This window comes from Homo sapiens, chromosome 18 (assembly GCF_000001405.40).
Source record: "Homo sapiens chromosome 18, GRCh38.p14 Primary Assembly".
Lineage (NCBI taxonomy): Eukaryota > Metazoa > Chordata > Mammalia > Primates > Hominidae > Homo > Homo sapiens.
This window is the reverse complement of record NC_000018.10, coordinates 78,067,217-78,080,946: the sequence shown is the minus strand read 5'-3', so window position 1 is coordinate 78,080,946 and position 13,730 is coordinate 78,067,217.

Genomic DNA, 13,730 nt, shown 5'->3' with positions numbered 1-13,730 from the left:
GGTGTGACCTTCAGCACACCTGCCTGAGTTTCAAAGCTCCCATCTGTGAGGGGCGGATGCTGCATCTACCATGCTGGTTTACCTTGCAGAGGAGATGATGGTTCGCTGGGCACCTGCCATGCGCTGGGCTTAGAGACACTGAGTCTCTAGCTGAAAAATCATTTACAGAAGCTTCAATGTGGGGCTTCCTGGCTGGTGAGGGGAGATAGACTGTGAACGGGTACACAAACCAGGCACTGACATGCGCCTGGCTGTGCCCAGCGCTCTGATGAACAAGGCAGGTTAGGGGTAGAGAGTGGTGGGAGGCCTGGCCTGCAGCCGGTGTCCCCCTCCCGCCAGATGAGCATCCCTTTTCTGCAGGCGTTGCCCCGGTACCGAGCGTGGAGGGGTCCCCACCTCGAGAGGGAGATAGACTCACACAGGAAACAAATTAGAGAGTAGCCGAGTTCGCCAAGTCATCGCTGTTCTCCCACTGTAAAAAGGGTAATTTGTGATAGGAATACTTTCATCAAACAAAACCACTGCTTCCTGTCATCATTGGATTGCTTTCCCTGTTGAGAGACTTAAAAGAATTCCACCCTCCGAATACTTCTTCCTTGAAGGAGTCAGTTTTGCGGGGTGCCTAGAGTTGCGCTCCTGTCCTGGCCGCACGCAGGGCCTCACACCCCACCCGTCTGTGTGTGCCGCCCCCCCCTCGCCATCTGGTAATTGCCACCTGCTTAATGTTGATGATTCATCCACCTGGTCCCCCTGGCTGGGGCCTTAATTAAACAATTCGGTGCTGCTGTGTGGGGCCCCTTCGTAGGCCGCGTCTATACTTCAGGGAAGAAATGCCGACAATAAACCTGTTTTAAATAGAGTTTCTGCTCTTGGCTTCACTGAGCAGGGACACGTTTTATTTTTTTTAGGACAGAAAACGCTGTTAAATTGGTTTATTTATATGGGGTTGTGGCCAGCATGGAATAGGCTCCTTAGACCGGTTCTCAGTGATTGAATGGAGTTAAGGAATCTTGAGTCTAAACTGGCCAGCAATGTTCTACAAAACGGTTTTAGTATTTTCATCTTATGTTTCAAATATCAGATACTCTTTTAAGAAAAAGCGGAAAGAACAAAACCACCAAGTACGATTGCAAATTAGAATGACCCTTTGTCCAACTTGGCCAAAACACACGTATGTGTGAAAAAACACAGCACATAACTCCACAAATACACATTCAAGGGAGATGACGGCAGGATCGATCTGACAGTCCATTTGGAGGAAGGAATAGTATATAAAACGCCAACGTTTATGCAAGAATATGGGACTTACGTTATATATACAGTTATATGTAACTGTGGAAATGTCATGGTTTTTAAATGAGTAAAAACCATGGAACTAACCAAGTTTCTCATAAGACAACTTTTTATTCTGGAAACCTACAAAGGTGAATAGGTTTGTTGAGTTGCTTTTCATCACACGGTGGGAACCAGAACTGAACAGAACTGAAGAATTCCTGGAAGGGTCCAGTGGCATCTGCTCCAGTCCCGGTGAGGACCCTCAACATGCTGCCACTCTTGTTCTCTTCCTCGTGCCTAGATGGGACTTCACACGGATGCCAAGGGTAGCAGGCAGGGCTAATCGAGGTGCTACAATAAAATACCGCTCTGAACAGGGCAGCTTGGTACACATTTGCAAACATCCCATAAATGTCATTACACTGTAGTAGGATTAGAAACATTGGATCCTGCTGTGACCTTTCCTTAGAGGAAGCAAGTTTAACCCTGAAGCAAAATGTATATTGAGAATTGCCTGTCTCTTACTTTAGAGATCTCTGCATTCCAGCAAAAATATAGAATTATTTTTCCTAATTTTTTGTGGCTTCAAAATTAATTACTTTAGGGTAATTTAAAATGGCATATTCTGCCTCCAAATTATGTTGGTTAAATGTATTTCCACCACTGCATCTTCAACCCACATTGAGCCACTGAAGCCTCAGCATGTGTGAATCCAATGATCTGGCAGTGGTGTGTGCTCAGTGAAGCTGGCTGAGGAAGACATCATAGCGCCGAATGAGTAAATTAACATTTAAAAATATACAGCAGCGTTAACCTGATGTTCTTGTTGACTCACAAGTTGAGCGGCAACTTTTAGAAATTAGAGGCTTACCAAGTTCCTGCAGACAGGCTTTGTTTATTTGCTTTTCCAAAGCTTGTGCTGACAGCTAAGATACAGAGGTTGTGCTGGTGTGAAAACAAACTCAAATTTCCAAAAGGAGAAAGAAAGAAAAAAAAAACACAAAAGCTCCCCAAACAATGGCGCTTCTTGTGACAGCAACTCTCTCTGAACAGCCTCCAGTGTTTAACATATTGAAACAGTTCATCTTCCTTCAATGAACTTTAATAACTCTGCCAGGTAGGAAGCTGCGCTCCATACTTCTTCATGTTGTCTCTTCCCCTCAACGTATCTACACTGATGTGCTCATCTGGCCAACTTTACGGCTGCGGTGTCGGAGCCCCTTGCGCTCGGTTATTACCATCATCAATAACCTGTCCTGCCCTCTCGCCTCCATTTCTCACGCCTTCCTGGTACCCTTCAACATCTAATAAGAGCCTTTTACCATGACCACTGATCAATACACATGGGCACCTGTTCCCTTTCCTAAGCACACCCTTCTAAAGTAACGTGACAAGGGGGCAAATATGATTTTGATGGGATCATGTCAAGGGACAAGAAAACCTATCTGGAAAATTTTCCTTTGGGGCCAATTTATACAGATAACCAATTTTCACACTTAGGGTTAATCACTTCTGTCTTTGTTCTCTAGCCGTGATCCATAGAAATAAAAACAATCCTTCGTGGGTATTATGCTAACCCAATATTACTTTTAACAATTCTATTTTTTATGCATATGTCTAAAAATTAATGAATTATAATAGAAATATAATAGAGACTATAATATCATAGAAAATGTCAATATGAAATATTTCCTAAAAGGTTCATAAATATACATCTACCCCCCATTACTGATTTTTGTTCAAATTTGATTTTAAATATTAACATTTTTATCTTAGGATAATAATTATTTTTTATCTTGGAATTATTTCGAGGTATGTATTTCAAATTTTATTAACAGCCAAAGTGTCATCCCTGTCTTTATGTGCACCAACACATACACAAAAACAGCATGACTTCTTCTCGGCAACTTTATATCATCCAAAATGGTTATCATATGTACAGACATGATTATGTGTGTTAGAAGCACTTCAGTCCAAATCTGAACAGTTGACAACTTTAACCCTTAGCATGACATTACTAAGGAAATACCAAAGTGTCAAATACGTTGTGGTTTCTTCACAAAATTAGTGCATGAGACCAAGGACAAAGTGAAATAATATTTTGACAGATGCAGGAGTGTAGCTTAATATCATATTGGTTGCAGCAGCTCTAAGTTAGGGACTGTATTCCAAAATTCCATAACAATGACTAGAAATATAGTTGAACTGCTATCGTGCCAATCCCGTATGTTTGGGGGCTGTGTGTATACATTTAATACAGGAATGTATAAGTTCCATGCTATCATTGGCTTTGTGGAATTTAAACTAATATTTGTGAAAGTAATAATATCAAATATCAAATAATTAAAATGCAAAATGCGTTTTTATAATAGAAAAATGGCAACATTGTTGGCTGTAAGTTTTCCAAGTATGTACTACGTATTTGTGGCTGTTTTTTTCTCCTACAGATTATAGTCATCTTTGCAGGAGGCATTAAAAAATGACATTTCTAAAGTAAAGGCCTGTTCTGTTGGTTTGCTTTTTATTTGAATTTTTAAGAGCATGGACAATTTCTAGCTTTATCATGCTCTGGGCATTTTAAAGATCAAATTTTATTTTAAATTTTGTTACACAACTTTTTTTTTTTTTTAATGCTAAGAGTAGCCTAGCTTTAACCCTGGTCTCTTCTCCACAAACTGAGAAAAAAAAAAACATGAGACAGAGGCTCTGGAAGCTTCATGACCCTGAGACCCTAATGCCTATGAAGACAATAGGCATCATTGACTTGATATGTTCCTATACTTAAAATCATTGGGCTTAGCTTATTTTGCCACAAATGATAAAGAAAAAAATCAATTGCTAGAAATACAAGAAGCACAAGATTATATTGAGACTCCAGGGTTATAAATATTGCAGGGTTAACCACTCACGAGAAAATAATCTGAAAGGCAGTTTTAAAACTATCCCTACTCTGTTTAAGCTATTCTAATTAATCATAGCATTATTATCAACACGTGGAAATGAAATCCTTCCCCTAAGTTTAACTGTCCTCATGTCTCGTTCTTCATAGCTGGGAAATAAAGACCTTCCCCACTAGGTGAGCCGATAAGAAAACGATTACAGCAGGTCCCATTGCGTAGACGGCATATCCAAGCAAAGAGTTTAAGTGATAATAAAAATGTACCACTGCAGAAATCACTGGATTGTGAGCTTCGATTTAATGTCCGTATGCAAGCGCAAAATTTGATTCCTGTTGCAGAGCATCTTACATTAAACATGAAATTTATGTTCCTAATCTATGAAAGCACTCTATTTTAAAACATATCAATTAAAATGAAAGTGTTAAGAGAAATCAAATATTTATTTTAGCATAAAATATATAGTATAGATTAAAACACAAGTTACCTCTTTCTGGGAGGTTATGTGTTTACGCATAATGTTTAATTTTATGTAATTATTTCTTGGTTATTGATTTATTCAAATATATTTGAGGTACAAGTGTATGTTTTTACAGTGTGCTCTTTGTGCACTCACAAAAGTTGATAGGAAATAGTAACTCCATCAGCAACTTTAAAGTAATGGTAATACGAAGACTCCTCTCCGCTTGCTATTTGATTGGAATTCAGCAATGCCAGCCTTTTCTGATAGGTAATTGTCCTTTCCCATAGAATTGTCATACGATCCCATATTACACCACTCCGAAGGTCAGATAGGGGGTCAGACCTTCTCCAACTGTTTTTGATGGGGTGGAAAACACAACAGAATTAAGAGATTTCATTTACGGGGAAGAACAGCTTATTTCAGAGACTTACCTGCCTGTCTGAGGACAAAATACATTCTTTTAAAACATTTTTGAATAAACTGTACATATATCCAAGGCAAAGCAACTTCTGACAAAACCTAGTTCATCTTGCACAGATTACTTAAAAAATCAAGTCCTGATAACATCACTAGAAGAGATCTGATGCCTTAACTGTACACTTTTTTTAATCGAAGCAAATGACAAATAGGAACAAAATTAAGCTGTGTAAATTAAAAGAGCTGAATTATAAAATCTTTATCCTTCAAGCATTAAGAAATATAAAGCAAGAAGACATTGATAGCCTATGGGCAAAATATCTATTTATATGAAGCAAAATCGAAATGACTGTTAGACTGTGTCATTGTTGTCTTTACCTAGGAGTCTAACGTGAAAGATAAAAGTGCACTTTTAGCATTCTTTACTAACCCCATATGGCAACAATAAAATTGACATGAAAAATGACTTTGATCTTCTATAGCATTTTGTGTGCAGGCAGTATTAAAAAAATTCTTGCAAATATTCATGAAGTAGCCTTAAAAGTAAACACCTAGTGGCATACCACCTTTTAGAAGAGATTTTTTTCCCTCTCTGAAAACTTTTTATGCATATGTATATATAATAAAGTGACTATGGAATGGGCTCTTGAAGGTGCATGGAAAATGTCTTACCCAAAGCCCTAAACAGTTCTGCAGTACTTGGATCATAAATATGTTTTGATAAGTGATAAACTCATTTGGCATACTAGATTGGACACTCCCAGGAAGAAGAGAACAGGTAAAAAATGTTTGATCTTGCAGGGGAGCTGTTGTCTGTCTGCTTTCTAGGATGTAGACAGAAAACACTGTTTGTCCCTATCAGGCTTCAAGAAATCGAAAAGGATTTCAATGGCGGTTTTATTTCCGTCAATCATTAAAACTGTAATAACTCAATATTCAAGACAACAAGCTATAAAACTATTCCCATTCTACCTTGCCAGCATTTTATGATAATTCTTTCTTTTGGACTTTAGAAATCATTTCCCATTCTTTAGCAACTCTCTGAAATAATTCTTACTGACTGCAGTGACACCTACTGCTGGCAGGATCGCTTTACTTGGGGTCTCAGACACAGAACAGCAGCCTTGCAATCGGGGGGCATGAAGATGAACAGAGAATGATTATTCGGAAATGCAATTCCTAACAAAAACCAGTGCTGGCTCCCAGGCCGGCCTGAAGCAGGAAGGAAGCACAGCATCTCTCGGTTCTTTTGTCCCAGGACTCAGGTTCCCATCTCCACCCAGGCAATGGTGGAGCAGCTTGGAAGCCAGGGATCTCTGCCTTCCTTAGCCTTCGGCCTCCCAGCCCAGCTCCCTGAAACACCGCATCTACAGAGAGCCCTGCTATGCCTCGGTATAAACCACTACCTGATTAACAAAATAATTATTCCAACCACCGCCACATTCTGCATAGACTTAAGCCTTTCTGTTTTAACAAAACAATGTTAATTTTCTCTTAGAACATCTGTGACCCATTCACATAACTGCTAAATTAAGACAATATTATTTTAAATCACTATCTTTGTTACCTTCCCAACCTTAAGAAAAGCCAGCAAATAAATTTAAGACCATGTTTCCTGAGATACTCATTTGAATTCTGCCCTTGCCAATATGCACGAATATGTCTACAGCCAGTTTTCCTCCTTTTGTGCTTTAAAATAACATCAAAAGCAGCAACAGCACAATAACAATTGTAAAGACAGCTAAAATTTTTAAGTGATCATGCAATAAGCTTTCACATTGTAAAACTAAAGCTATCTCTGCAGTTGTTTTCCTAAAATATTACTGTATTGACATCGCACCGCCCTCTGCTCTCTTCCCACCAGCTTGCTTTCCGTTGTTTTCAGTTCCATTAACCATTGAAAAATAATCCAGTATTAGGGAGAAGAGCTCTTTTTCTGTATCGTGTGTCTTAAGGAAATCACTTTCTTAAAAAAGAGAGGAGATTTCATTTGTAATATTTCCAGAATAAGCAATGAACTCTCTTTTTCATTTTGAAGACGAAAGCAGAACGTGGGAATATTCAGATCCAAGCCAGTTTTCTGCTGGATGTTTAAGAAGCTTACACATATACAAATGTATTTTATGCATATAGCAGATACGAGGCATGTATAATTCTAGGATATATAAAACAGAAGCACTAAACATAATTTAAACAAGTAATAAGAACTTCATTTCCCCACACAGCACATACAACCGCAGCCGTGGCAAAGCTCATCACTGCTGTCTCAGAATAATAGGACTTGGTTTTGAATTGCTGTCCTTAAAATCTGACGATAGAAAACAAGTGCAACGCATCCATTAACACAACACAAAAGTTAAGAAGAAGTTGCTCTCAGAGAAGCAATCATTGTCTGTGACTCCATAGTGCCACCACATGGAGTGATATTTGAATATAATTCAACTGTTTCAGACTCAGTAAACTGTCTGTAAATAATACTTTACATACTTCATAAGACAGCAAAGAGGGATATCTAATCTTCTCTCTAGCATGTGAAGTTCAAAATGTTTCCTTGTGAACACAGAGGTGTCTCATTTCTAAGAGCATGAATGCACTGTAGTAAAAACCAAACAGCGAAACTGCTTTATTCCACCAATAAAAAAAGAGCCATTTGGTAAAAGGATGCATTACACATTTTCTATTTAAATTAGTTTATAAGAAGCAGATGTTAAGCTTTCCTTGGTAAGAAAAGAAAAGGAGTTATAAATGAATTAAACTATTTTTTCAGTGGATCTCTGACCCTTCACTCTCAATGCATTTCTGTTTTGAGTAATAATGTAAATGCATATTTTTATTACTAAGGCAAGTGGTTTTAGCAATTATTCTTTAAAATATTAGATGTCAGGTTAGGAAAGTCCACCGAATTAAATGCCAGTCTGATACCATAAACCAGCGCAGGTCCCAAATCACATTAACTAGAGAATCTTCAGATGAAAACTCACTCCGTAAGAGCGTCTGTGGAAAACGCAGCCTAGGCTTCAATTCTACGCTCTAATAAAGCGTCTGTGATTTCAGATTTCATGATCTCTGTCAATTGGTTGTAAAGTACAAATTGCAATTCAAGCAAGTTTGAGAGCATTTTCTTTTTTTGTAGGGGAGGTTGGTATAAACTGGGATGACGTTGAGCATCCAAGCCTCAGCCAGAAAGTGATCATGTTTCTAGAACACGACCCCCGTACACAGCCCCCCACATGGTTCACCACGGTAAAGGTGCTTTCCATTGTAATTGTCTTTAAAGGAGCTTTAATTAAATGCTCAACGTGGATGGCCTCACTAGACGCTTTCATGCTCAGACATTTTTAAAGAGCAGAGCTCTCGCCGGCTGGAAGCACAGCCTGTGCGTCGGACGCTGTTGTCTCTGCGACGGTTCCACTGAACTCACTCCTAACGATCTACCCTCAGTTACCTAACTTCAACACTATTTTTTCCTTAGACTGCATTAATGAATCCAATAAATAAAGCATTGTATCACCCATCCAGAATGGACATTAATTTTAGAACAAAACATTAATCAACTTAAATTTATGTACTAATGCAGACACAATCAATTTCAACTTCTTATGACAATTAGCAAAGCTTTCGCTACATCTCTAAAACACACTGACCCATCAATTATGGTTTGCATCAAAGTAATGCTAATGACACCTCCCTAGTCCTTAGGCTGCCAACAACCCACCTGATTGGTCAACTTGAATGCAGCAAATCAATTAATATAAATTATACATGCACGAAAAGATGGGTTAATATCATAAGTTAATTTAATTAATTGTGTTTGATTAAATGAGGTACTTTCATTAGCCCACTTAGCCATGAACCATATATACATCATCATAATCCTTTTACAAGCTCAGCCGCCCAGACATAGCCCTGACATCAAGAGCATATTCAAATTACCAGCCTCAGCCATGCAAACCTCCCTGCATAATTAACAACTAAACGAGCTGCAGTCACTTAAGCTGAAAAGAAAACTGTTCACATCAACCTCTCTGATACTGTTTAAATTGAAGGTGTCATGGGTAAAACAAAGGTGAACAGACAATGGTAATTAAAAATTAAAAAGGACAAGGGGGATTTGCAACTAATGGAAGCAAAGTGGAAAGAGGGCTGAGGCCTTGGTTCTTTCAAACGCAGTGTGTGAGTATGGGGTCATTCAGATCCCATCCTTTCTGGGCTGTGCTCAGTGCAGAATGTCTGCCGGAATCAGAGACATGGAGCTTGACTGGATGGTGGACGAGGGCTGACCTAAGCAGCTCCATCAGGAGCAAATGAAATTGTAACAGGATGGCCCCCAAAGCCATGGTTTGTCGTTACCTCATCGTGAACGCCGGCCACACAGGTGCGGAGTCCTGTCCATTTCGCCGGGGTCTGATCCCTGGCCATGTTTTCAGCTGTGGTTCCGACCTCAGGTATCAAACCCTGTCCAGCACGGGAGCCTCGCCCAGCTCCCGAGAATGGCATTCATTAAATGGATTTTCTTCCAGACGACATGGCAGAGGCTTGACATAAAATATAGGGATGTCTGATGGAAGTTATTCATTCCTTCCTGGTTCGATGCACAACCTTCCAGGGATGGTTTGAATTCACACTGGTTCCCAAAGTAGAACAAGTAGCAGGGCTGCATTTCAGAGATAGAACCGAGTCTGCAACGCAGCACCCGGAGGAGTTTCAGAACACGGAATGATGAGGCCAGGCCTGCCTGGTCTGTGAACACAAAAGTAAAGTAAATGGCAGAATTGAGGCAATTACACAGAGGACTCAACACACGACTAGTAACAGTATCTTTGAAGCTGAAGCAGAAACATTTATTTTTAAGTTTGCCACAAATCCTCTCAATTTGTCATTGGATTTTGGGTATTTAGACACAGATTCAATAGCAACATAAGTAGTACCTTGACTGGGGGTGGGGTAACTGTGTTATCTTTAGAAAGGAGTAACACTTATGCAGCCATGGACATAAGTAACAGCACATCATAGACACAGATAAACATTTCAAATAACATGACAGTCATCCACATGTGGTCAATTATCACCTCATGCCTAAGAAACACAACCACACTTGATGGAGAGGTGATAGAAGGGGCTGAACATGTAATTTGATTTGGCAGCAAGAAAAGATTTGTTCCTTTTCATGCCAGCTGCGAAAAGACTTTCCTATTTCTAGACGGATAAATTGATGCAAATATAAATTTATACACATGTGCCCACATTCTATATAATACGCAGGAAATGTAAATGTTCAAAGTGTGGAGGGCACAAGCCTCAGCCATTGGCCCTTGGTAGAACTGGCCAGTGCAGCCCTGGCTCTCCTGGCGGGAACCATGCATTCTCTGCAGTTGGGGTGGAGATGTCCACCCCGGTCTTGTGGTTAGGAGGCAGCTCAGGAATCCACTCCTGGCTTCCAGTCTGGCCTGCTGTGTGGCCTGACCTGGTGTTCAGCAGCAACGGAGTTCAGATGGAAGGAGTCGTGTTCATCTCACAGGGCCGCTGAGGTGTACATCAGCCACTGTGCTTAAAGCACTCACAGAACAGCCTGGATGCAGACAGCCCTCAAATACTTGTCAGCTTATGTTGTTATCATCCTCTTTGCATTTATTTCTCTTTCCCAATGTAGAATACAGCAACCTTTGGTCCCCAGGGAACATCAGTATGTCAGGTGTATTCGTGATTCTATGTTACAAATAAGAATTTTACAAAGCCCTCTTAAGCTTGAAACAACAGGAATTTTCCCTTGGCAACGGGTCTCAGGCTGGAGAACCGCCCTGCTGCATTAGTGCCAGGATGGAGTCTGCTCTGTGTCTGTCTTGTTCTGGAGCCAGTGGTTCCCCAGAGCATGTTTTCCTCATGGCAGATGGCCAAAGTGCAAGAGCCTCTAACCACAAAAGCACAGCCAGTGCCTCTGCTCAGATCACACGGGCTGCCATCTCAGTGGCTGAAGCGGGTCAGGTGGACAGGCAGAAGCCAGTAGGGTGGGCAGGTGTCACCTTGGAGGGAGGAGCACAAGGTGCATGTGGGCTGCACACCGTCTGGTGACCACACCAAGAAAATCATTTCCAGTTGGAGAAGTCGATGCATCCATCAGTTACTTGGTCCCAGAACCATGCCCGGTGACCCTGGAATTCTGACATCTGTTTCTACACATCTTCCTTCCCCATAATGACAGGCTCATAACAAAATCTTAAACACAGAATTAAATAAATGATTTTCAATGAAACAATAAATTGATGATGAATGAATGAATTAACAAACACTTATTATGTTCACTTTTAGCTATTCTGTTCTACTGGCTCTATAATGTCACAGGAGTTTGAGAATTACACTGACATCTCATTCATAACATGTCCCTCCCACCAAGAATATTGTACAGCTCCATAAATCCTAGGAGAATAGTTTGTTTGTCAATAAGATGATTTGCATACGGAGGATTGTTATTTTTTTAAACAAACTGTTATTGAGCTAGACCTTAAGCATTTAGGAAAACTGATTTGAAAGTTCATGTTCAATCTATTCCAATGATAAAAATCATGGAAAATTCAAATTAAAATTATGCAGACTAGAGTTCATTTTATAGAGAAGCAATCTAAGTGTTTACTGCTTTTTAGGACTTCTTTCCCAATGCTTTACCTCATCAATTGCTTTTTAGTGAGATTGACCTACTCTGCTCTAGCAGACACGGTCATTTCTCAGAATCCCCTAACTGAGGAATTCTCAAACAGCCCAGAAAGCACCTACTTTGCCGTTTGCTCAGCATGAGAAGGAATCTGAACTGAGAGGGTAATACTGACGACTATTAATTTAGCTTTTGCAGATCACTGATGATGGAAGGAAACTAATAAAAATGTGCATGAAGTCTGGAAAGTTTTTCACTGATGTTGACAAAGGCACACCAACACGCCTGCATGTGAGTGCCTGAAACATTCTCCAAGCAACGAAAGCACAGGTTTCTCACCCAGCAGGGGGAATGGAGACAGCTGTAGCAAAACAAAGAGTGTATGAATTCTAAATAAAATTGCTGAATTCAGTCTTAAAATTAAGATTCTTGGATGCAGAGTACATGAGGTGTTCTGGAGAGGAAAACCTTCATCTGGTCTCATGTCATAACACACAGCTTAAATAAAAGGTAATGCAAATGAACGTGCAGTTGTGTGCATGAAGAAGCAATAACCCGGGTGGTCCCACATAGCAGAGGCAGCACACAGATGAGCAGAATTGTCTACTGTACAGCTCGGGGGCATTGTGATGGAGCTCTCGTGTATTAACAGGGAAAGCATTCAAATGTCCTTCAGAGCTCTGGGTTGGTTAATTGGCATATGAACCTCTGGGCCTTACAGGGCACCTTGTGGGTAAAAATCTGGGACAGTCATCAACTCACCTGGGCAGTTGGGTTTAGCCACTTCCGGAAAGATGAATTGAACGCTCTACTTTATAACATCCTAAGGCATCATTTGGACACGGCGAGAGAGTCAGGGAACTCGCTGGGGTCAGGAAAGAGGAGCAAAAGGGGCCTGAGACACTATTGGCAGTGCTTAAGAAACTGCTTCTTCAGTCTGACTCTAGGGATATTTGAATAAGCTGCTTAAAAGAGCAGTTTATTTGATACTTCCTTCATCCTCTAAGAAACACCGTAAACCAACAGCTAACCCACTACTAAAAGCAAAATAACACAGTAATGCTTCCCAAACTTTGATTTGCGACTCCTGTAGTTGTTAAAAGATTCTTTTATTTTATTTTATTTTATTTATTTTTTTGAGATGGAGCCTTGCTTCATCGTCCAGCCTGGTGTGCAGTGGTGCGATCTCGGCTCACTGCAACCTCCGCCTCCCAGGTTTGAGATTCTCCAGCCTCAGCCTCCCAAGTAGCTGCGATTACAGGTGCCCACCACCACACCTGGCTAATTTTTGTATTTTTAGTAGAGATGGGATTTCACCTGCTGGCCAGGCTGATCTTGAACTCCTGACCTCAGGTGATCTGCCCATGTGAGCCATGACACCCGGCCAAAAAATATTTTATGAATTACAATTTTCCATTGTAATTTTCCAACACAATGGAAATAGGATGTATGGGCTAGGATAGCAAGTATGGGTAAAGAAGAGTGGGAAAGGCCGGGCATGGTGGCTCATGCTTGTAATTCTAGCACTTTGGGAGGCCGAGGTGGGTGGATCACTTGAGGTCGAGAGTTGGAGACCAGCCTGGCCAACATGGTGAAATCCCATCTTTACTAAAAATACAAAAATTAGCTGTGCGTCGTGGTGGGCGCCTGTAATCCCAGTTACTTGGGAGGCTGAGGCATGAGAAGCGCTTGAACCTGGGAGGCAGAGGTTATAGTGAGCTGAAATTGTGCCACTGCACTCCAGCCTGGGCGACAGAGCAAGACTCAGTCTCAGAAAAAAAAAGGAGTGGGAAATAAATTGTTCTCTAGACCTCACTGGGGACTTATGAAGCCCTTTTTCATGATAGAGATTCTGAGAGACCTTATGGTAGAGAGATCTTCTTAAGTTATTTAACCAGCATTACATGGGCAAAAAAGTCTTCCCCCCGCCTCCCGCCCCAGAAAACAGATGTCAACTTGCAAACCCATGTTTTTGGGACACAGTTTGGGAAGCACCAGGGTAGAAGTGCATTATTGAGAAGCATATTTAAAT